The sequence below is a fragment of the Homo sapiens genome, chromosome 2 (assembly GCF_000001405.40).
Source record: "Homo sapiens chromosome 2, GRCh38.p14 Primary Assembly".
NCBI lineage: Eukaryota > Metazoa > Chordata > Mammalia > Primates > Hominidae > Homo > Homo sapiens.
Window position 1 is genome coordinate 25,777,913 of NC_000002.12, and position 25,600 is coordinate 25,803,512.

At 39.1% G+C, this 25,600-nt stretch overlaps 1 protein-coding gene across 3 annotated transcripts in view; it reads right to left on the bottom strand.

The window, feature by feature from the left end:
* The window catches only part of ASXL2 (ASXL transcriptional regulator 2), a 144,735-nt gene that overhangs the window by 44,160 nt on the left and 74,975 nt on the right, over positions 1-25,600 (bottom strand). For 2 of the 3 annotated variants that reach the window (NM_018263.6, NM_001369346.1), the window contains one exon: positions 21,473-21,623. In NM_018263.6, coding sequence (NP_060733.4) covers positions 21,473-21,623 — 151 coding nt within the window. Of the gene's footprint in view, positions 1-8,982; positions 9,049-16,559; positions 16,780-21,472; positions 21,624-25,600 lie in introns of those variants that run through there. The other variant, NM_001369347.1, reaches the window with a different exon arrangement.

Here is a 25,600-nt window from a genome sequence, read left to right on the forward strand (position 1 = left end):
TTTTAAGGCTATATATATTTATATACAAAAATAAATTTCAAAGATACATCTTCATCTGCGTATTATGATGGTATTATCTAAGTTTTACATATCAGGAAATTTAATTAGTTTGCCAAAAGATATATAGCCAGTAAGGAGCACAGCCAAGATTTGAACTTCATTTTCAGAGTAATGAATAGGTAACCTATAGCTGGCTGATAATGGTGGCAACCAAAAAGATATGTCCACATTGTAAGCTCCAGAATCTGTGAATGTTACTTTATTTGGGAAAAGAGCCTTGGTAGGTGTAACTCAGTTAAGGATCTTCAGACAAGATCATCCTGGATTATCCAAATGGATCCTAAAGCCAAAGACAAGTCTCTTCATAAGAGATGCATAAGGGAAGACAGATACAGATGAGAAGGCAATGTGAAGACAGAGGCAGAGACTGGAGTAATGTGTTCATAAGGCAAGGAAGTCAGCAAGAAAAAGGTTAGAGAAAGCAAGGAGCAGATTCCCCCCAGAGCCTCTGTAGGGAGTGCAGACACGCCAACATCTTGCTTTCAGACTTCTGGCATTCAGAACTGAGAATAAATTTGTTTGCTTAAGCCGCTCACTGTGTGATAACCTGCAACTTCAGAAAACTCATACAATACCTAAAACCAATAAGTTCTCACAGATATTTATATATGTGAAATATTTAAATAAAATGCAATTATCAAAGATTTGATACTGTACCTCAAACTACATATAATGTTTTAAAAATATATACTTAGCACCCAAATCGTCCCATTTTGACCTAGTGGGAGCTCCTTCAAGTTGTAAACTGTCTTGGGAACATGGCTCCACCCATATGTGACAGCTTTTTTACAACCTGTCACAGAAAGTTGTCCCAGGCAAATCTTACATAACTTTTGGCCCAGACCTGGATCAACTACTTCTCCAACAAGCTCTGACATCTTTAAATTGGAAATGATATTAAATGGAAATTAAATTTAAATTGGAAATGGTATTAAAAGACTACAGTGTGCACACCACACTAGGAGTGCTCACTGTCAATAGGTTACCACTAGTTCTAGAACTTTTCAGTGGCTAGAACAAGAAAAGAAGTCATCATTTAGAAAGAGAAAATGAAATTCATGCTTGGATACCAAATTTGAATTGAAGATCACAGAGCTGTCACTTTTTTCTGATTTTTTTTTTTTTTTTTTTTTTTGAGATGGAGTCTCCTCCTGTTGCTCAGGCTGGAGTGCAGTGGTGCGATCTTGGCTCACTGCAACCTCTGCCTCCACTTGATTGGGTTCAATCAATTCTCCTGTCTCAGCCTCCCGAGTATCTGGGATTACAGGCGCCCACCACCATGCCTACCTAATTTTTTGTATTTTTAGTAGAGACGAGGTTTTGCCATGTTGGCCAGGCTGGTCTTGAACTCCAGATCTCAAGTAATCCACCTGCTTCAGCCTCCCAAAGTGCTGGGATTACAGACATGAGCCACCATGCCCAGCCTGATTTTGTATTTTTATCCCGTTTCTTCCCGCCTAACATTTCTGGTTCCTAATAATATTACTATAATTATTGATTTGCTTAGTACTATATAGTTTCAAAGAAACCATACCAATATAATTATTGAAATTAAGACTACTGAATGCAGTTTAAGATTTGTCTCCTTCAACATCTGTAAAAAGGGGGGAAAAGGGTTTATGTCTTGTCTCCCATACCTAAGCTACATCTCACAATAACTTGTCTACGTCATTATGCCACAAATTTGACATACTTGTTTGCTTTCTTATTTCTAGGAAGTACATTAAAAATTTTAAATTATGTAACGTTACAAAACATATTACTTTCATATAAGTCTAGCTCTCTTCCTTAACTATATTACTCTATAGAAAATCATTTTAATAGGTTCTTGTTTGTCCTTTCATTTTTATTCATATTTTTCATTTTGTGAAAATACAACAGTATATATGTTTTAATACTTTTTTTTTCCTTTTTAAGACAGTTTTGTTCTTGTTGCCAAGGCTGGAGTGCAATGGCACGATCTTGGCTTGCTGCAACCTCTGCCTCCCAGGTTCAAGCAATTCTCCTGCCTCAGCCTCCTGAGTAGCTGGGATTACAGGTGCCCACCACCATGCCCAGCTAATTGTATTTTTAGTAGAGATGGGGTTTCACCATGTTGGCCATCCTGATCTCAGGTGATTTGCCCACACTGGCCTTCCAAACTGCTGGGATTACAGGCATGAGCCAACATGCCTGGCCCATTTTAATAATTTTACTTATTTCTTTAAACAAAAGATCATATACCACCAACTGTCTAGCACTTTGATTTTTTTTTTTTTTTTAAGACAAGGTCTTACTCTGTTGCCCAGGCGGGAGCCACTTTGATTTAAGTGAAAAAACTCAATGCATCCTGGAGGATATCCTAGAACAGAACATGGAACTCTTCTGCATTCCTTTTAATAGTTGCATAGAATTCCATTGTGTATATCGATCGTGATTTCTTCCACCAGATTTTGTTGATGGGTATTTTTTTGGGTTGTTTCTGGTCTTTTGTTCTCATGACTACATCTTAACCAGTGGTTCTAAGATGTGGTACCCAGAACAACATCATTACTACCTAAAAATCTATTAGAAATGAAAATTATTGGGTGGAAGCCCAGATCTACTGAATCAGATACTCTGAAGTGAGGCCCAGGAATCTGCACCATACGTCCTGTAGGTGATTCTGACGCAAGCTCGAGTCTGAGAATCATTGTTCTTAATCTCTGCCATTTTGTATTTTTGACAGCTTATCTCTGAGGTTAATTCTTAGAAGTGAGTTTGCCAGACTAAAAGATAAACATGTACACTTCAAGAAGCATCAGAGAAAAAAAATTCTTTATTTTCAGGTTTTAAAAGAAATTCACCCATGTTTGGCCGGGCGTGGTGGCTCATGCCTGTAGTCCCAGCACTTTGGGAGGCCGAGGTGGGCGGATCACGAGGTCAGGAGATCGAGACCATCCTAGCTAACACGGTGAAACCCCGTCTCTACTAAAAATACAAAATAGCCTGAGGTGGTGGCGGACGCCTGTAGTCCCAGCTACTTGGGAAGCTGAGGCAGGAGAATGGTGTGAACCCAGAAGGAGGAGCTTACAGTGAGCCGAGATCATGCCACTGCACTCCATCTCCAAAAAAAAAAAAAAAAAGAAAAGAAATTAATTCACCCATGTTTTCCTGTAGTACTTGGTTTCATATTTTACATTTATTATAACTTTAATTTCTTTGGAATTTGTCCTGGAGTGTGAGAAATGAATGCAATTTTATCTTTTTGGGTATTGAGTTGTTTCAACATTTTGCACATATCTTAAAAAAGTAATGCTTGGCCAGGCACGGTGGCTCACGCCTGTAATCCCAACACTTTGGGAGGTCGCAGGAGGAGAATCGTTTGAACCCGAGAGGCAGAGGTTGCAGTGAGCCGTGATGGTGCTACTGCACTCCAGCCTGGGCAACGAGAGCAAAACTGTCTCAAAAAGAAAAGAAAAGAAAAAAAACAGTGATGCTCAGAATTTTTTTGTTGTTGATGTTGTTACCGCAAATATATTCTTTTTCATTATTATTTATGTACATGGTGGCTGATTATTACATATTAATTTTATTTACATCTATTTATTTACAATCTCAAATTCTTTTTTTTTTTTTTTTAAGACACAGGGTCTCACTCTGTCACCCAGCCTTGAATTCCTGGGCTCAAGGTATCCCCCTGTCTCCTAAGTAGCTGGGACTACAGGTACACACCTGGCTTTTTTTTTTTTTTTTGAGACAGAGTCATTGCTCTGTTGCCTAGGCTGGAGTGCAGTGGCACTATCTCGGCTCACGCAGCCTCCGCCTCCTGGGTTCAAGCGATTCTTCTGCTTCAGCCTCCCGAGCAGCTGGGACTACAGGCGCGTGCCACCATGCCCAGCTATTTATTTTTAGTAGAGACGGGGTTTTGCCATATCGGCCAGGCTGTTCTTGAACTCCTGACCTCGTGATCTGCCCTCTTTGGCCTCCCAAAGTGCTAGGATAACAGGCGTGAGCCACCGCCCGGGCTTTTTTCTTTTTTTTTTTTTTTTTTTGTAGAGACAGAGTCTCGCTATGTTTGTCCAGGTTGGTCTCAAACTCCTGGCCTCAAGTGATCCTCCTGCCCTACCCTCCCGAAGTGCTGGGACTACAAGCATGGGCCAACAGTTCTTTTTAATCAATATTTATCTCCACTGATTCTTTTGTGTTTGTCAGACGCAAAATCGTATCATCTGAAAAAACAAAGTAGTTTTACCTAATCCTTTCTGATTCTTGTCGCCGGTTACTCAAACTGCTTTCTCTTGCTTACCTGTGTTGATATAAACAACTCTAGGCCAGGCGCGGTGGCTCATGCCTGTAATCCCAGCACTTTGGGAGGCTGAGATGGGTGGATCATCTGAGGTCAGGAGTTTCAGACCAGCCAGGCCAACATGGTGAAGCCCCATCTCTACTAAAAATATAGAAAATTAGCCGGGCGTGGTGACATGCGCCTGTAATCCCAACTACTCAGGAAGCTGAGGCAGGAGAATTGCTTGAACCCAGGAGATGGAGGTTGCAGTGAGCCGAGACAGTGCCACTGCTCTCTAGCCTGGGCAACAGAGGAAGACTCCATCTCAGAAAAAACAAAACAAAACAAAACACCTCTAACATAATGTTAAATAAGAATGGAGATAGTGGACATCTTGTTCTTGACTCATTCTGGCTAAAGGATAAGCCACTAGTGTTCCCCCTTAAGACACTGGTTTCTCAACTCAGTTATAACGTTAAAGAGAAATCCACCAATTCTCAATTTTATTGAGCATAAAATTTATTCAAAGACCTTTTCAGCAAGCATAGAAGTTATGTTTTTTATTCTAGCTCTGTAACAGTGTTTAAAACATTAAGATTATTATCTTTAAACATATGGTTGCATTCTGGCTGGGCATGGTGGCTCACGCCTGTAACCCCAGCACTTTGGGAAGCCAAGGTGGGCGGATCACTTGAGGTCAGGAGCTTGAGACCAACCTGGCCAACATGGTGAAACCCCATATCTACTAAAAATACAAAAAATTAGCCGGGCATGGTGGTGCACACCTGTAATCCCAGCCACTCGGCAGGCTGAGGCAGGAGAATCGCTTGAATCCAGGAGGCGGAGGCTGCAGTGAGCCAAGATCGTACCACTGCACTCCAGCCTGGGGGACAGAATGAGACTCTGTCTCAAAATAAATAAATAAATAAAAATTAAAAAATAAAAATATGATTGAATTTCTCTGAACATGTGGGTACAGTGTTCTTTTGAAGGGGAGTTCTAACACAGGTCTACTTCTATGAAACTCTATTTATACTTTCTATCTCTACTGGGTTCAATTTTTGTGTACTGTATTTTCCTAGAAAAGTATCCCATTTCATCTACAAAGTACTGTGAAAAAGTCTGATGGTTTTTTAATTGTTTTGAAATTTCAACCTGAATTTATATACTCATGGTTTTTTCCTTTAAAAAAAAAAAAGGAGGTTAACAAAGTTTGTCTATTATATTGATTCATTTAAAAACCAACCTTTTCTACCATTTTTCTCTTCTAATTTAGTAATTTCCACCATTTTTTTTATTATAAATTATTTTCTTCAGCTATCTATTAGTTTACTTTATTATTCTTTTTTTTCTAATTTTTAGAGTAGTTTGCTTCTTTTAGTTTGTCCTTATTGACAGGAGGTATTCAGTATTATAAACTGCCTTCCAGACTGGACACAGTGGCTCACACCTGTAATCCCAGTACTTTGGGAGGCCAAAGCGGGTGGGATCACTTGAGTTCGAGACCAGCCTGGGCAACGTGGCAAAATCTTGTCTATGTAAAAAAAAAATACATGGCCGGGTGCGGTGGCTCACGACTGTAATGCCAGCACTTTGTGGGGCTGAGGTGGGAGGATCACGAGGTCAAGAGTTCAAGACCAGCCTGGCCAACATGGTGAAACCCCGACTCTACTACAAATACAAAAATTAGTCGGGCGTGGTGGCACATGCCTGTAATCCCAGCTACTTGGGAGGCTGAGGCAGGAAAATTGCTTGAAATCGGAAGGCGGAGGTTGCAGTGAGCTGAGATCACACCACTGCACTCCAGCCTGGGCGAAAGAGTGAAACTCCATCTCTAAATAAATAAATAAATAAATAAATAAATAAATAAATAAATAAATATAAAGTTAGCCAGGTGCGGTGGCGTGCTGTAGTCCCAGCTACTTGGGGGGCTGAGGCAGGAGGATGACCTGAGCCTAAGAAGTTGAGACTGCACTTGAGTTGTGATCACGCCACTGCCTCCAGCCTGGGTGACAGAGTAAGACCCTGTCTCCCAACTAAAAAAAGAAATTAAGAAAGTAGGTGGCACCAAACCCTTGTATATGTAAGCCTCCTTCAGCTTTGGCTGCAAGTCTCACTTAAGGAAGATAATTAAAATGTTAACAGAAAGATTATGGCAGCAGAGATGATGACTATACAATATTTTAAAAGATTTCATGGGAATATAACATACTGAATACATTGTATAATGAAGAATGAACTTTACTCCCTATGTTAATTCCCCAGACCTGTCATTTTAAAAAGTACATAACCTAGGTGGTATAAAACAAGACACTTATTCCTTCACAGTTCTGGAGGCTGAAAATCCAAAACTGATGTGTCAGCAAGGATGGTTCCTTCTGTGAGATAAGCTATTCCGTCCCTTTCTCTTAGTTTCTGGTAACATCCAGCAATCTTTGGCATTCCTTGGGTTATAGCAGCATCACTTCAACCTCGTCTCCATCGTCACACGGCACTCTCTTCATGTCTCCATGTCTTCATATGACCCATCTTATAAAGACACTAGTCTTAGTGGACTAATGACCCACCCTACTACAGTATGACTTCATCTTAACTAATTAACTCTACAACAGCTCTGTTTCCCAATAAGCACACATTCTGGTGTACCAGAGGTTATGATTTCAATATATCTTTTTGAAGGGGACACAATTTGAAGCATAACACTTGTTTTTATTTAGCCTATTTTCCAGAGCTATACAGATGGTGTGAACTTAACACTGTCATTCATTGAATATAAGCTATTATAGTGCTGCCCAGGCTAATAGAATTTTTCCCCAAGTCAAGGAATTATAAGTATTCTCATTTATTCTAACTCATATTCCCATTCATGTAGGTGAATTATAGACTTGTGATCTGTATGTTTTACCATATTTATGATGAATTTAATTAAAAGTAAAATATCCCTAAAAAGGAACATTTCAGCCCAGGTTTCTATCAGGAAATTCTCCCAAACTTATTTATTTATTTGTTTGTTTGTTTATTTTTTGAGACAGAGTCTCGCTCTGTCTCCCTGGCTGGAGGACAGTGGCACAATCTCAGCTCACTGCAACCTGCGCCTCCCAGCTTCAAGTGATTCTCGTGCCTTGCCTCTGGAGTAGCTGGGATTACAGGCACCCGCCTCCATGTCAGGCCGATTTCTTTATTTTTAGTAGAGATGGGGTTTCACCATGGTGGCCAGGCTGGTCTCAAACTCCTGACCTCAAGTGATTGGCCCACCTCCATTTCCCAAAGTGCTGGGATTACAGGAGTGAGTCACTGTGCCCACCCCCCAAACCTTTTAAGGAAGAAAAACAATCTTTATTTTTTCTGAGACAGAGTCTCATTCCGTCCCCTGGCTGGAGTGCAATGATGCAATCTTGGCTCACTGCAACCTCCACCTCCCAGGTTCAAGCAATTCTCCTGCCTCAGCCTCCCAAGTAGCTGGGATTACAGGTGCCCACCACCACGCCTGGCTCACTTTTGTAATTTTAGTAGAGATGGGACTTCACCATGTTGGCCAGGCTGAGTCTCAAATTCATAACCTTAGGTGATCCACCCACCTCAGCCTCCCAAAGTGCTGGGATTATAGGTGTCAGCCACTGCACCTGGCCTACAAAAACAACAATCTTATACAAATTATTTCAGAGAACCAAAAACCAATTACCAACTTTTTTATGATACCAAATTTTAACAGGGACATTATATGGGGAAAACATGCAGGCAAACCTTAGAGTTAAACGCAAACTATGAGCAAATAAAATCTATGATACAGATGATTAATAATATATCACAACCAAGTTGGTTTATCCAAGGAACACAAGGTTGGTTTAACATTTAATACGTAAAATCAATATAATTCACTACAGGAATTATGTACATGAAGGAAAAGCAACTGATAAAATTCAACATCTGTGTATTAGAAAATCTCTTAGCAAATTACAAATAAAAGGAAACTAACTTCATCTACTAAAAAGTATCTACAAACAACCTACTACTCCACATCATTCTTTTTTTTTTTTTTTTGAGATGGAGTCTTGCTCTGTCACCAGGCTGGAGTGCAGTAGTGCAATTTTGGCTCACTGGAACCTCCGCCTCCCAGGTTCAAGTGATTCTCCTGCCTCAGCCTCCCAGGTAGCTGGGACTACAGGCGCATGCCACCACGCCCGGCTAATTTTTGTATTTTTAGTAGAGATGTGGTTTCACCGTGTTAGCCAGGATGGTCTCGATCTCCTGACCTTGTGATACGCCTGTCTTGGCCTCCTGAAGTGCTGGGAATACAGGCGTGAGCCACCACGCCCGGCCCACATCATTCTTAAAACATTATAATATTAAAAGGCTGGGTATTGGTGGCTCACGCCTGTAATCCCAGCACTTTGAGAGGCTAAGGCAGGTGGATCACTTGAGGCCAGGAGTTTGAGACCAGCCTGACCAAAATGGTGAAACCCTATCTCTACTAAAAATACAAAAATGAGCTGGGTGTGGTGGCACACACCTGTAATCGCAGCTACTCAGGAGGCCAAGGCATGAGAATTTGCTTGAACCCTGGAGGTGGAGGTTGCAGTGAGCCGAGATCACACCACTGCACTCCAGCCTAGGTGACAGAGAGAGACCCTGTCTCAAAAACAAACAAACAAAAATTATAATATTAAAAGCTTTACCTTAAAGGTAGAGAATGAAAAGGATAATTGATAGTACCATGTCTGTTCCACTATTTTCTGTAAGTCCTGGCTGGTACAAAATGGCAAAAAAAAAAAAGAAAAAGAAAATTGCCATTATTCATAAATTACATATTTGTATAAGTAGACAATCATAAAACTATGTATAAACTAATATATTTTAAAAATTAATTTTGCAATGTTGTTACATCCAGTGTCAATATTCAGAGAGGAAATCCACCACAGGCCCCGAGTGCTGTTGTGTATACACACGAGGAATGCAAACAATGTTTTAAGTCCCAGAACACTCTTTACCTGAGCCATCTTTCAGGGTTATGTTTGCAGTTGCAGAGCAACCATGAGATGAGGCAATGTCTCTTCCCAGGCAAAATATGCTTGCTTCTGCTAAAAGCAGTGAATCCCTCAAACTAATGTTTCTTGGCTGAGATGCAAACCCACTGCAGGAATAGGATACACCTGGGCCTGTATCTCATCACCTGTGAGTCTTGGGGTAAGGGAAAGCTGACACGAAAAGTATGCTGGTAGCCATATTGCTTACTCTATCATGGGTAATACAGTACTTTTTCTATGACCCAGGATTCTTGTTTCTTCTGTTAAAATCCATGAGAGGCTAATCGCTTTGTTTACTTACAAATCAGGTAAAATCCTAGACACTTCAAAGACACAGTCAATTTATAAAAACTGTATTTCTATATATCAGCAACACACAATTATAAAGTAAAAAAAGTTAAAGCCATTCACAACAGAATAAAAAATGTCAAGGAATAAATCTGATAAGAAGTGTGCAAAGACCTGTAAGACAGAAAAATCCATAGCATTAATGAACAAAACTGAACTGCAGAAAATGCAGTAATATAGTTTTTAAAAAGTCAATAGAACTAAAACTGATCTATAGATTCAATGCAATCCTAACCAAAATCATAGCAGGTTGAGGGGAGAGGGGACATGTGGAAACTAACAAGCTGCTTCTAAAATTTACATGAAGATGAGATCAGTCAGAAAAGCCAAGAAAATATTAAAGAACAAAATGGAAAGAATTAAACTATTAGATATCAGGATTAATAATAAAGCTAAAGTAATTAAAACAGGGTGGTACTGTTACAAGGAAAGACAAAACACAACAGAACAAAGCAAAGTCCAGAAACCAAACCATAACTATATGGTCAATTGACTTATGACAGAGAACACTGCAATAAAGTAAATGAAAGAAGTCTTCAAAAAAGGGTGCTAGGTAATTAAGATATCCCTACGGGGTGAAAGGAATAAAATGATGATCCTCATCTCACATAATACAAAAAAATTCCACATGGTTTATAGATCTAAATGTAAAAGATAAAAGAATAAAGTTATCATTAAAATGTGCACACGCACATGCATATACAGGAAGACAGTTTCCTCTCTGTGTGTATATAGTATTTTCATTGCATAAACATCCACCAGTACCCAAATTCATTTATCCTATCTTTGATGAACATTTAGGTTATTTTTATTTTTTGCCTATTACAATTAATTCTACTTTTTAAAAAAATTTCTTTTTGTACTCCTTTCTGTTGGGTATATACACCAGAGTAGAATTAGCTATACTATGGACAGACAAGCAGTTTTCCAAAGTAGTTGTACTAGTTGTACTAGTTTAAATTCTTACCACCAGTGTATAAGAATCCCGTTATTTCACATGATCACTAGCAGTTGGTACCATCAGTCTTTTTAATTTTGGACTTTGGTGGGTGTGTAATAGTATCGCATGTGGTTATAAGTTGCCTTTCTGTGGTCACTAACGGAATTGGACTCCTTTTCATTATTAATCATTTTGATATCTTCTTTGTGCAATGCTTGTTCTAGTCTTTGCCCATTTTTCTATGAATTCTCTTTTTCTTACTAACTTGTAGGAGTTCCTCATATATTCCTTTGTTGCATATATTTATTCCAAATAACTTCTCTGTGGCTTGCCTTTTCACTCTCTTAAAGTTACGTTTTGATGAATGCAACTTCTTAATGTACCCAGTATGTTTTTTTCTTTAGAAAATTACCTAGCTTTATGATTAATCCTGATATTTAATAGTTTAATTCTTTCCATTTTGTTCTTTAATATTTTCTTGGCTTTTCTGATTGATCTCATCTTCATGTAAATTTTAGAAGCAGCTTGTCAGTTTCCACATGTCCCCTCTCCCATCAACCTACTATGATTTTGGTTAGGATTCCATTGAATCTATAGATCCATTTTAGTTCTACTGACTTTTTAAAAAATATATTACTGCATTTTCTGCAGTTCAATTTTTTTTATTAATGCTATGGGTTTTTCTGAGCTCCCTTCTGGTCATACCCATTGCCCCAAAATAACCACTCTATATAGTTTTAAGAATCTGATGTATTTCTACACACCAGAAGGTGAATGATTCTTACACACATGCAAATAATGTAATAGCAAAAAATTATTTAAGTATGACTTGATTATGTAAGTTTAAAAATTTCTCTGGACATTATTCTGTTCTAGACATGTCTTGTTTATGCTATTGGAAGTTGTTAGAGTGGTTATTTTGGAGCAATGGGTGTGACCAGAAGAGAGCTCAGGGAGAGATACTAGGGCAATATTTTGCTCCTTAATCTGGTTGATAGTTCATAGTACTGTTCTGTTTGTGAAAATCCAACAAGCTGTATACTTACGTGTACTTTAATGAATACAAGCTGATCATTCCAAATCAGAAAACATGAAATGCCCAAAATCAGAAAATTTTTGAGTGCCAACACGATGCTCAAAGGAAATGTTCATTGGAGCATTCTGGATTTTGAACTTTCTGAATTTGGGATGCCCAACCCAAATAATGCAAATGTTTCAAAATCTGAAAAAATCCAAACTCCAAAACACTTCTGGTTCCAAGCATTTCAGAGAAATAGTACTTCATCCATATATATTATAATCTAATTTAAAATTTTAAAAATAGGCAAGTGACCCAAACTGACAGAAATCAGGACGGTGGTTACTTTTGAGAAAGGACCAGTAGCGATTTGGAGATGACAGGATGTTTTCACAATGCTGATGAAGCATCGTAATAGTTAATTATTTACTAGGGAGATGGGGGTTATTTTCTGTTCTGAATTTTTTAAAAAAGGGACAAGATCATTTCATATAGTTTCTCCTTTAAAGATAAAATTTGGCACCCTCTCCCCCTTTTTTAAAGTAAAGCTGAAAAATCATCTAAACTATTGCTGTTCAAATGTCCACAGACTGGTCTGTGACAAGATAAGCATGAAAGCAAGAACATTTAGGTACTTTCATAGAAATTTGACATTGCTGGGTCATTCTGAGTCCACAATGGACTAGAGGAAAAAAATTGGTCCTTGATGATGAATAATTTGAGAATAAACTAGCTAACTGAGGTGGTGGTGATATGAGTCGCAGTTGCGGGGTGGGGGTGGGGGGGGTGTGAGAAGCGCATGAGCAAGGTTTCCTAGGACTACATCTTAAAAAAAAAAACAAAAACAGAACTATTAAAAATAAGACCTTGGTTAAAAAAAAACATAAAAAAAGGAAAAAAATTAAAGCTTTATTTTAACTATATCAAGACCCTGTTTATAGTCTTTTCTCACAAAGTGGTACTTATAGAAAAATAATCCCTTATACTTCTCTATTACCAGTTTTACTTCAAATGAAACCAATTAATGTCACCAATTAACGTCATCCTACACCAAGGAAGTATTCTACCTACAACAAATGGTTTTCAAAAGCAAAACAAAAATAAATTTTAGCTTATATACCAGTGATGAGAAACAGAGCTAACTTAAACACTAGTGAGCAGAAAAACAAAAGACGCTAGTTTATTAACTCAGAAACTTAATGAACAAAAATATGAAACAAACAAAAAAAGAGTCAATAAACAGTTTTTTGTCTTTTTTTTTTTTTTTTTTTTTGAGACAGGGTCTCTCTCTGTCACTCAGGCTGGAATACAGTGGCATCATCATAGCTCACTGTGGTCTCAAACTTCTAGGCTTAAGTGATCCTCCCACCTTGGCCTCCCAAAGTGCTGGGACTACGGGTGTGCACCACCAAAACCAGCTGTTTTTTATTTAGAGACAAGGTCTCACCATGTTGCCCAAGGTGGTCTTGAACTACGGGGCTCAAGTCATACTCCTGCCTCGGCCTCCCAAAGTAATGGGATTACAGGTGTGAGCCACCACACCCAGCCTATAAACAGTCTTGATCTTCCTGGTGTCTGGCTATGAAAATTTGGAAGAGTCATCAGTGTCTCCATTCTCTCTCTTATCTATACCTTAATTTTCCTAAGAAACTTTGTGAGGCCGGGCGTGGAGGCCTACACCTGTAATCCCAGCCCTTTGGGAGCCCGAGGCAAGCAGATCACAAGGTCAGGAGTTCGAGACCAGTCTGGCCAACATGGCAAAACCCCGTCTCTACTAAAAATATAAAAATTAGCCAGGTGTGGTGGCGGGCGCCTATAATCCCAGCTACTCAGGAGGCTGAGGCAGGAGAATAGCTTGAACCCACGATGGGGAGGTTGCAGTGAGCCGAGATCATGCCATTGCACTCCAGCCTGGGCGACAAGAGCAAGACTCCGTCTCAAAAAAAAAAAAAAAGGAACTTTGTACAACAAATATCTTGTAAATAATAAGACTATCACTAAAGGTTAACCATATGATCCAAATTTCTTTCCCTCCACAAATCCCCTCTCCCAGCCACATTTATCTTCTTACGGCTTCCTGAAAACACTATATACATTCTCATCTTCTTGCCTTTATATATGTTTTCTTTCCATAACACATCCTGTCTTCCCTAGTGATTAAACTCTCCAGAGAAGAATAGTATCTTAGAACTTTTATAGCTAATACTTAGTAACCCAGGCAAAGTTAACTTAGTATCCCTTCTCTAATGCTGTCATAACATGATAAATATAAACACATGTGATTTATGAAGTCATGTGCTAATTATCTACTTATTTTTCTATCCCTCTAGATATGCTGAGACAACTTTAAGGGTGGGGTTGACACCTCATTCAAATTTGTTTCCCAAATACCTGGCAAATAATACAGACTGGAGAAGGCATGAGTGTAACAAGTAGTTTCTTTGCTTGTTTATTCATTCATTTCTTGAGACAGGGTCTCGCTCTGTCACCTAGGCTGGAATGCAGTGGTCCCATTATAGAACACTGTAGCCTTGAACTCCCGGGCTCAAGCAATCCTCCTGCCTCAGTCTACCAAGTAGCTGGGACTACAGGCACACACCACCACATTCGGCTAATTTTACTTTTTATTTTTTGTAGAGACAGGAGTCTCACTATATTGCCCAGGCTGGCCTCAAACTCCTGGGCTCAAGTGATCCTCCCACCTTGGCCTCCCAAAGTGCTGGGATTATAGGTGTGAGCCACCACAGCCTGCCTAACAAGTAGTTTAAACGGAGATATTACTTTGGTTGTTATCAATAAACTAATGGCTTAAACAACACTTTTTAGGATTATAACTTTATCCTCCAATGTGGACTGCTCAACAGATTAAAACAATTCTTAACAACACATTTTTTTGTCTAATTAGAAACAAAAATGCTTGCTTCTACATAAACATATAGAAATAAAAGATTAACAAATTCTGATCAAAAGATCGAGTTACTATTATTTGATTAAAAACAAAAAAACAAAAATCATTACATAAAAGAAACCCAAAGAGTAATCTAGTAAATAATTTTTTTCTTTTTTTTTCTTGAAACAGTGTCTCACTTTGTCGCCCAGGCTAGAGTGGAGTGGCGTGATCTTGGCTCACTGCAGCCTCCGAGGCCTCCTGGGTTCAAGTGATTCTCTTGCCTCAGCCTCCCGAGTAGCTGGGATTACAGGTGTGCGCCACCACACCCAGCTAATTTTTGTATTTTTAGTAGAGAAGGGGTTTCACCATGTTGACCAGGCTGGTCTTGAACTCCTTAACTCACGTGATCTGCCCTCCTCGGCTTCCCAAAGTACTGGGATTACAGGCGTGAGCCACCGCACTCGGCTGATAAATTTTTTTTTTTAAAGCTTAATATTAAGTGTTTTCAGAAAAACATTTAAAACAAATTTTAGGCCGGGCGTGGCGGCTCACACCTGTAATCCCAGCACTTTGGGAAGCTGAGGCGGGCAGATCACTTGAGGCCAGGAGTTTGAGACCAGCCTGCCCAACATGGAGAAATTCTGGCTCTACTGGTATGGTGGTGCACGCCTGTAGTCCCAGCTACTGGGGAGGCTGTGGCAGGAGAATCGCTTGAACCCGGGAGGCGAGGTTGCAGTGATCTGAGATCATGCCACTGCACTCCAGCCTGGGTGACAGAGCAAGTTTCTGTCTCAAAAAATAAATAAAATAAATATAACAAAACAAATTTTGGAACTTGAGGCTTATCAGTCAGTTTTACATAGTTCACTGCAGTAGCTTCTCGTTGCTGGATATTTACATACTGCTCACTGAGTTTAAGTCAAAAGGTACATACATACATTATTACAGCATTGAGAATTTTCCATTTCAATGGATGATTATAATGTCGAACAAGGTCAAAAAGATACAGACTATTAATAGTAGATGCATTTGAGTTAAAAGCTTAAGTAAATAATCTCTGACTTAAATTTTTATTTTCTCCCAAAGACATTTAATGGGCCCCTATGAAGTATTAGGGAGAGATCAGACACTGAAGGATTGGTAACAAAATTGAAACTTAAGAACTATATATAGTTGAAGAATTGATTGTTGAAGCACTGATAATAATCGAAGTTTCCGAAATGATTTTGATCTTTAGAAACAGTTATGTTTCTCTTGAGGGAGAGTTTTTATTCTAACAGGTCTTTCTTTAGAGGTAATGGATCCTTTTTAGTTCTAAGTCCCTTCCTCCAACACCAAGTGCAATCTACTCCAAACTAGGCAGGCGGTGTTTCCTGATTATATTCAGAGTCCCCTGGCCTAAATGGGAAAGGCCACACCTCAACACTTTCCTTGCTTCTGGGTAGTCTAACTATCCAAAGCCCTAACAGTGTAGCCATCTTTAACACAACACAGTGCTAAAACCTCCAATTCAGCCACCAATAATAACCTCAGAGGAAAAGAGAAAATCTCCTAAAGGTCTCTCTCCATCTAAGTTAACTTGCCAAAAAAAGTTTTGCCTCCAGTATACTTTTAAAAGGAGACATAATCATACCCATTCAGTAACTTAACACACATGTAAATGTTAGAAGGTAGATAGGTTTATGGTATTTTAAATAACTCCAGACACAATATATATCAAATTCCTGATTTAAAGTAGTTCTGAACAAGCAGTAAAATTAACATTAGTTCACACTAGAGGAAACAGTGATTCCTTACAGAGAAAAGGTATACTTTATGTAATTAATTTCATTCTTAAGACACTTTAAAAGCAGACCAAAATCTAAACAAAACTTTTTCTATCAGAAGATAAAAATAATAGTCCTACAGTTGCTTCATAATGCAATATTTTATTTTGGGGAAAAGGCAGAGACTTCACTTAGCTATGATCATAAAAAAGCAATATAAATAGTGATTTTCGTATTCATTTTTCTGAAGTTATTATTCCACCTTACCTTTATTTGGAATTCCATAAAACTCTTCTCTGAACATTGTGTATCCTGTCTGAAAACTAGCAACCAAAACTACAAACTTTTAAGTCTTCCACTTTACACAGAAATCAATAAACTAGTTTTAATATTGGACTGAATTTCAAAGTTCTATTCTCTGTTCCTATTTGGCTGAAAGGTATACATATATCAAGAAAGTTTCTATCGATTTTCAACTAGAAGTATCAGTTTTGCTGTCAGAGCTCTTTATTTTTGTACATAAAAGGAAGTGGGTTTTGATACTATCTCAGTGTTCTTCCTGTCTTACAATGCATTTGAAATAAAGTGATGTCAGATTGAGAGTAAAGGCCCGAAATAAGAAAAAGTAATAGGCACAATTAGCTTGCTTTACCTTTATTGATAACTAAGATTTAGAACTGCTTTGCTGTATACTCACTGCTGGCTACATGTCTGTCACTTTAATTTGCACTGGACTACAAAAACATCCACAAATATATAATATATACCTACAAATTATATGGTATCTATATCACATGTATGACCCATGAAAGACAGATGCATATTCTATGAGAGACTAAATCATTCTTCATAATTGGTAGCTTGGCATTCATTTCTTGAGAATATCAGAGCTGCTTAAACATGAATCACATGTGACATCATGCGCACCTCTCACCTCACCTTCTAGATACCACACACCGCCCATTTTCCTCTAGGCTTTATTATAGACTACCTGCAACCAGAAAAGAGCTTTATAGAGCATCTCATCTTACTGTAAACTGAGGACAAATAATCAATATTATAATAATTTCTAGAAAAGGAATAAATGAAAAGCAGCTCAAAAACAATTGGACCCAATATTCAATTTGATATTACCTTATTGTTCATGTCTTCTATTATTATGCAGAGTGTGGAGCAAGGTTATGTTATTCATATCTACCTATTCGGCTACTGACAATAGGGTTCTATGGTTAATTCTTGGATCTTCCTACATCTTAACACATTCACCTCAAATTCTTAGAGACAGCCATTAATAACCGTTAGTTATAAGCAAAAGAAACACAGATACAACAGCCACTATTCAAAGAGCAGCATATGTGGCTCTTGAAAAGCAAGGGCCCCAAGTATATTCCCATTTTACAAGACTTTCTTTAATATTGATTTCCCTGTCCCAATCCCATCCAGAAAACATGAATCTTGCTAATTGCTTCCCTTACTTGATGACCTGGCTTGGCTCCTAATCTTAGATCTACAATTCCAAACTTAAAAGGAAAAGCTTAAAATGAGGAGAATCAACACTTGTGAAAAGAAGCGAAAAAATTAAAATAAAAAAAAATAAAATGAGGAGAAGCAGGGGATAGAGACAGCCCTTTACACTTTTGGCTTCACTTTTTCAAAAATACGTGCTTAGTGGACCCCAGGGAATGGAGGGCCCTGGACTACACCTCTTTTCACTACTGACAGGGATTAATTTAAAACCACACATCAACAATTAACTAGTCAGAAGCACCCTCTTTGTCTTGCTTTCATTCCATTTATTCCTAACAATTGAGGTCTGGGTAGCTCTCTAAGTGGTTATCAACTTAAAGCTAAGATTCTCTGATTACAAAGTTCGCTCAAATTATGTATGTAGTAGCTATAGCAGAGAACAGATGAGGCCATCAATTATCTCAATTCTCTCCAGGAGTAGCAAAAACATTAACAGAGGGATGGTAGTGAATTATAACTATTTTTCTAATATAGGCATAGTAACCATTCTGAAGGGACTTAAATGAATGAGTCTAGTATTCCAACATAACCTGAGCTTCTAGCTCCAAAGACAACTCACCTATCATCACTCAAATCTAAAAGGATATTCAAGCTAGAAAAAATCTTGAATGTCTGTTTTGCTCTGGAACATGTCAGTCCTTGTAAAGGAATCATCAAGAGTTGGTTTAAAATTTGCCTTGCCATGTACAGCTAAATTATAAATATTGGGATAAACAAGATTTGCCCTCTTTGAATAGACTCTGACAAGAAGCTACAGAATAATTAGCAGTAATTAGGCAATAATTCATATCCTTAACTGGAAAATCCATTCCAGGGAAGCTGCAGCAACAGACATTATTCCCTAACGAAAGCTTTTCAGGTGAGTTATGAAGTAGACACCAAACGGAATAAGAGCAAAGACCAGCAGACTAAATTCAGTGTTTGCTAGTAGAAATGAAAAGCATTCTTTTCCTAAGGAGGGTTGTTAGAGCATTAAGTGCTCAAAGTTTAGGCAAGTAAAATAAAAGCATCCTAAAAGGCTATGGATGACTTAAGACCTTAAGAACAAATCCAGGTAAAACCTAGAATGTTGTCTGGTGTGGTAGCCACTATCCTCATGTGGCTATTTAAAGTTAAAATAAAATCAAAATTAAATTCCTAACTAGAACTCCACATGTCAAAAAGAAAAGAAATCCAGATACAGGTCTCACACGCTTCACAAAAAATTAACTCAAAATGGATCACAGACCTAAACAAAAATGAAAATTTCTAAAACTCCCAGAACATAACATAACATTGAAGAAAATCTAGGGGTTTTATGATGACTTTTAGATACAAGACCAAAGACACAGTTCACAAAAGAAAAAATGTGATACACTAGACTTCATTAAACATTTCTGATCTGAGAAAGAAACTGCCAAGAAAATACAAAGACAAGACAGGTGCGGCGGGCTGGATGGGCGCAGTGGCTCACACCTGTAATCCCAGCACTTTGGGAGGCCAAGGCGGGTGGATCACGAGGTCAGGAGTTCAAGACCAGCCTGGCCAACATGGTGAAACCCCACCTCTACTAAAAATACAAAAATTAGTTGGGTGTGGTGGCGGGCGCCTGTAATCCCAGCTACTCGGGAGGCCAAGGCAGGAGAATCCTTTGAACCCAGAAGGCGGAGGTTGCAGTGAGCCGAGATCGCTCCACTGTACTCCAGCCTGGGCAACAGTGTGAGACTATGTCTCAAAACAAAAAAAGACAAGACACAGAAAATATTTGCAAAAGACATATGATAAAGGATTGTTACTCAAAATATACAAAGAACTCTTAAAGCTCAACAATAAGAAAACACACAACCTGATTTTAAAATAAGTCAAAGAACTGATGAGACATCTCACGAAAGAAGATATGTAGATGGCAAACAAGTAAATGAAAAGGTGCTCCACAACATATGTCATTAGGGAAATGCAAATTAAAACAACGAGATACTACTACACACCTATCAGGCCAAAATCCACAACAATAACCACACTAAATGCTGACGAGGACATGAAGCAACAGGAACTCTCATCCACTGCTGGTGCAAATGCAAAATGCAAAATGATACAGTCACTTTGGTAGACTGGAAGTTTCTATAAAACCAAACATACTCTTAATCATATGATCCAGCAATCACACTCCTTAGCATTTACCCAAAGGTGCTGAAAACTTATGCACATACAAAATCTGCACATAGATGTTTAAAGCAGCTTTATTCATAATTGCCAAAACTTGGAAGCAACCAAGATGTCCTTCAGTAGGTGAATGTATAAACAAACTGTGGCACACCCAGACAATGGAAAGAAATGACCTATTGCAAATGAATACCAGAACAGAAAACCAAATACCGCATGTTCTCACTTATAAGTGGGAGCTAAATGATGAGAATACATGACACACAGAGGGGAACAACACACACTGGGGCCTTTCAGAGGGTGGTGTGGGGGAGGAGGGAGAGAATCAGGAAAAATAACTAGTGGGTACTAGGCTTAATTCCTGGGTGATGAAATCGTCTGCACAACAAACACCCATGGCACAAGTTTACTTACGGAACAAACCTGCACCTGTACCCCTGAACTTAAAAGTTCAAACAAAAAAGAAAGAAATGACTTATCAACCCATGAAGACACAGAGGAACCTTAAATGCATATTACTTAAGGAAAGCCAATCTGAAAAGGTTCCAACTATATGACATTTTGGAAAAGGTCAAACTATGGAAACATTAAAAAATCAATGGTTGTCAGGCCAGGCACAGTAGCTCACGCCTGTAATCCCAGCATTTTGGGAGGCCGAGGCAGGTAGATCACCTGAGGTCAGGGGTTCGAGACCAGCCTGACCAACATGGTGAAACCCCATCTCTACTAAAAATACAAAAATTAGCTGGGCTTGGTGGCAGGCACCTGTAATCCCAGCTACTTAGGAGGCTGAGTCAGGGTAATTGCTTGAACCCAGGAGGCAGAAGTTGCAATGAGCTGAGATCACGCCATTGCACTCCAGCCAGGGCCACAAGAGTGGAACTCCGTCTCAAAAAAAAGTCAGTGGTTGTCAGGGGTTAGGAGGCAGGAAGGGATGAAGAGCTGGAGCACAGAAGATTTGAGGGCAATGAAACTATTCTGTTTGATACTATAATGGTGAATACACATCGTTATACATTTGTTCAAAGCCATAGGATGTACTCTCCCAACAGTAAATTCTAACGTAAACCATGGACTCTGGGTGATGATGTGCCAATGTAGGTTCATCAGCTGTAACAAATATAGCACTCTGGTGGAGAATGTGGCTAGTGGGGAAGGCTGTGCATGTGGCGGGGGAGGGGTACATGGGAAATCTCTGTACCTTCCTCTCAATTTTATTGTGAACCTGAAACAGCTCTAAAAAAGAAAGCATTTTTATTTTTTAAATTCCTTGGTCATAATAACCATATTTCAAGTATTCAATAGGCCCATGTAGCTACTGGCTACTGTGTTGTGCTGGACAGTAAAGATATAAACATCTCCATCATTGCAGAAAACTCTCCTTGACAGGACTGTTATAGAGGGTAAGGGAAAGTGACTGACTGACCTGGAGTCTGGGAAAAGAGGAACTACTAACAAGGGCATTTGTCCTACAGCATTTAGTACTTTATTGAAGGATCAGGTGGATTTACCTTTCCTTTTCCACCTGCTCTTTTTTCCCTCCTTGTTGCTGCCACCATCACTGCTGCTGCTGCTGTTCTCAGAACTCTGGGAATCTGACTGACCATCACTGCTTTCTTCTGAACCTTCTGACAGCTCTTTCACCCCATCCGGCACATCTTTCTGAAAATGTAGGCATCCAATTAGGATTAATCATTACCATTTAAGCAAACAGAAATTAAAACTTCTGATATGCAATGTTGCAACTTAATTGCACTAATTTTTGTTACTATAGGATTCAGTAGCAGAACCAGCAATATTTTCTGAATTCCTGTCATCTCTTTGAGGCAAATAAGCTAATGTTTCCAACTATATCCGAAGATAAAAATTATATACAACATTCATATGCAGGCACAACACAGGCTTAAATTAGACAAAAATTGGGTAGATATGAGTCCAGGTAAATGATTAAATACTCTTACATTTTAAAAACTACATAATAATTTTATTGGCTGGGCGTGGTGGTTCACACCTGTAATGCTAACACTTTGGGTGGCTAAGGCAGTTAGAATGTTTGAGACCAGGAGTTCAAGACCAGCCTGGGCAACATGGTGAAACCCGTCTCTACAAAAAAAAAATGCAAAAAAAAAAAAAAAATTAGCTGGGCATGGTGGAACGAACACTCCTGTAGTCACAGCTACTTGGGAGGCCAAGGTGGGAGGACTAAGCCCAGGAGTTCAAGACCAACCTGGGCAACATGGTGAAACCCCACCTCTACAAAAAAAAATACAAAAATTAGCCAGGTATAGTGGTGTGCACCTGTGGTCCCAGCTACTTAGGAGGCTGAGTTGGGAGGATCACCTGAACCCAGGAAGTTTGAGGCTGCAGTGAGCTGTGATCGTACTACTGCACTCCAACATGGGTGACAGAGTGAGATCCTGTCTCAAAAAACTAAATAAAATAATTTCATTAAATATATGTATGTCCATGTGTGTATGTAAGTACCACTATGTACTCTGAATTCAATTACAGAGTAAGAGTCTAGACAGTAAGAGATAGTGCATTATTTGAATCTAATTGGTTCCTGAATATTGGTTAGTAAGTAGCAAGAATTAAATAAAAAAGAAATCTTTTTTTAAATGAAGGTTCTTCCTGACAGAAAAAAAGAAAAAGAAAGAAATCATTTAACAAATCATATGAAACTCTTTGGTTTCTGCACTGAGAGAGAATGCTAATCAGAAAGGATAACTACGTCAGCTTAGCATGTGAGAGATATAATAACAGGATAGTTCCAAGACCAAAGACTAGAAAACAAGACTTCCTGGCTTTACCCTCTCCTAATTGTGCAGTTAAAATCTTAACCTTTCATGCTTCAGTTTCCCCATCTATAAGGTGGGGATAATAGTACCTACCTTAAAAGATCATTCTTCAATTAGCTCAAGTTAAATGAGCTAATAAATGTAAAATGCTTAGAATCACGCCCAACATAAGAGGTCAAAAAATATCAGCTACTATGTGTTTACATAATATATAAAAATACACATGTATGGCTAAACACACTAGTGAGTGTTTGTGGTTTTTTGTTATTTTGGGAGACAGGGTCTCACTCTGTCACCCAGGCTGGAGTGCAGTAGTGCAATCACAGCTCACTGTAGCCTCGACCTCCCAGGCGCAAGCAATCTTCCCACCTCAGCCTCTGGAGCAGCTGGGACTACAGGTGTGTGCCACCATACCCGGCTAATTTTTTAAATTTTTTTATAAAGCTGGGGTCCTACTATGTTGCCCAGGCTGGTCCTGGATTTGAACTCCTGAGCTTAAGCAATCCTCTTGCCTTAGCCTCCCAAAGTGCTGGGATTACAGGCGTGTGCCACTGCGCCTAGCCTGTGAATGTTATTTCTAAGCTATAAAACTATCAGTGGTTCTTTTTACCTCCAATATTTTATTTTCCCACATCGTTTTAACAATCAGATAAAAAATAATTCTGACAGACACAAAAATGTGACCCTCCTACATAAAACTGACATCCGTATGACATTATAGCCAAGACTATAAACTCTGATCTAGTTAAGTTAGGTATTTTTCATTTAAATTTATGTCCTAGTGCCATTTCTCTCTGAGCCGTCTCTTATGTTATACACTTTCTTAAAATACACACCCTATATTTTTCTATTATTTCCTTCAAAATGCAGGACAGCTTTTATAGAGTTAGTTGTCAGCCAGACATCTTGTCATATAGGTTCAACAAGTATCTGAAATATAAATATAATTATCTTCTTTTCTTAAAATATGTGATCCGTACAGGATCAACTGCCTATGCCCCAAATTCTAGAATCATTTCAGCCCCTTTTACCCACTCCAAATGCTACATATTCTATTTATTCCTCTAATGTCCTTTGTCTCCATCTCTTTTACTAGTCTCTTAATTCAGGCCCTGAGTATTTCTTCCAAACAACCATAACCACCTTTCTGACAAATTTTCCTGCTTCACTCTTAAATCTATCCTACTTGAGTTATTCTCTTAAACTTGGATTTGATTATGCTTTTCTCCTGAAAAACCTGTGACATCTACCACCCAACAACCCATACACAAACTGCTCAGTCAGGTTTTCAAAGGCCTCCAATGTTTGATCTCTACCTAACGTTTACCACACTGGAATCTTTACCACTTAAGTCCACGCAAAGATTATGGTCTAATCACTCCAATTTACTCTACTTTCAAGTCCACTCTGAATCTTTCCAACTGTGCCCTTGCTTAAGCTATTCCTATGTCCTGGAAGGCCCTTCTTCTTACTACTTATCTGACAAAGTCCAGCTCAAATCTTACAAGTTAACAACAACAAAAAACGGCTACATTCCTTTATTCAAAATTAATTCTTATTTCTCTATATTATCACATTTTTTAAAAGCAAAGAACATTTTGAGAGCAGGCAATTATTTTAGGAACTATAATGTGAGCTTCAAGAGCTCAGGGGCCACAGCTTAACCCTCTTTACAGTCTCTATAGTGTCCAGCACAGAGGTAATATTGTGATATAGTATGAAATATATATTTGGTTCCTGACTACAGTTCCTGGCCTAGAGCTCTTTTTAGCTGTTATAATTTCCTAAGCAATAGTGTTACTAGTAGAATCTTTTGCTATTATTTGGTCCTTGATCCCAGCTTCCAACACAGAGCTCCTAAGACCTCTGCAATTTCCTGAGTAAAAGGAGCATCTGACACAGCTCCTATGTCCCTTGGAATTTCCTGGGTGATAGGAGCATCTTTTCTTCCTCTTGGTGAGCTACTGCATAGTCTCAGGATGGGGGTTAGTTTCCAGGGGAACCAACTATGTGACTAGAGGGTTGGAACTTTCACTCACTCCCCAATCTCAGGGAGGGAGGAGACTGAAGGTGGAGCTGATCACCAACGGCCAATAATTTAATCAGTCATATGTGCTGAAGCTTTCATAAAAACCCAATGGATTGGGTTCTGAGAGCTTTGAGATTTAGCTGATCACGGCTGGGTGCGGTGGCTCATGCCTGCAATCCCAGCACTTTGGTAGGCCAAGGCAGGCAGATCACCTGAGGTCAGGGGTTCGAGACCAGCCTGGCCAACATGGTAAAACCCTGTCTCTACTAAAAATACAAAAAATTAGTTAGGCGAGGTGGCAAGCACCTATAATCCCAGCTACTCTGGAGGCTGAGGCAGGAGAACTGCTTGAACCCGGGAGGCGGAGGTTGCAGTGAGCTGAAATTGCACTGCTGCAATCCAGCCTGGGCGACAGAGCGAGACTCCATCTCAAAATGAATGAATGAATGAATGAATGAATGAATGAATGATTTAGCTGATCACATGGAGGTTCCTGGAGGGTGGCAAGCCTGGAGAGGGCACACAAGCTCTGTGTACCTTCCTACAAACCTCACACTAAGCATCTTATCCATCTGGCCATTCATCTGTATCTTTTGTAATATCCTTTATAATAAATGGGTAAATGTAAGTAAAGCATTTTCCTGAGTTCAGTGAGTCATTCTAGCAAATTAATCAAACCCAAGGAGGGAACCCCAATTATAACCAGACAGTCAGAAGTACAGGTCACAACCTGGGACTTGCGACAGTTGGCATCTGAAGGGGATGGGAGGGTACTGAGCCCTCAACCTGTGGAATCTGACACTGTCTCCAGA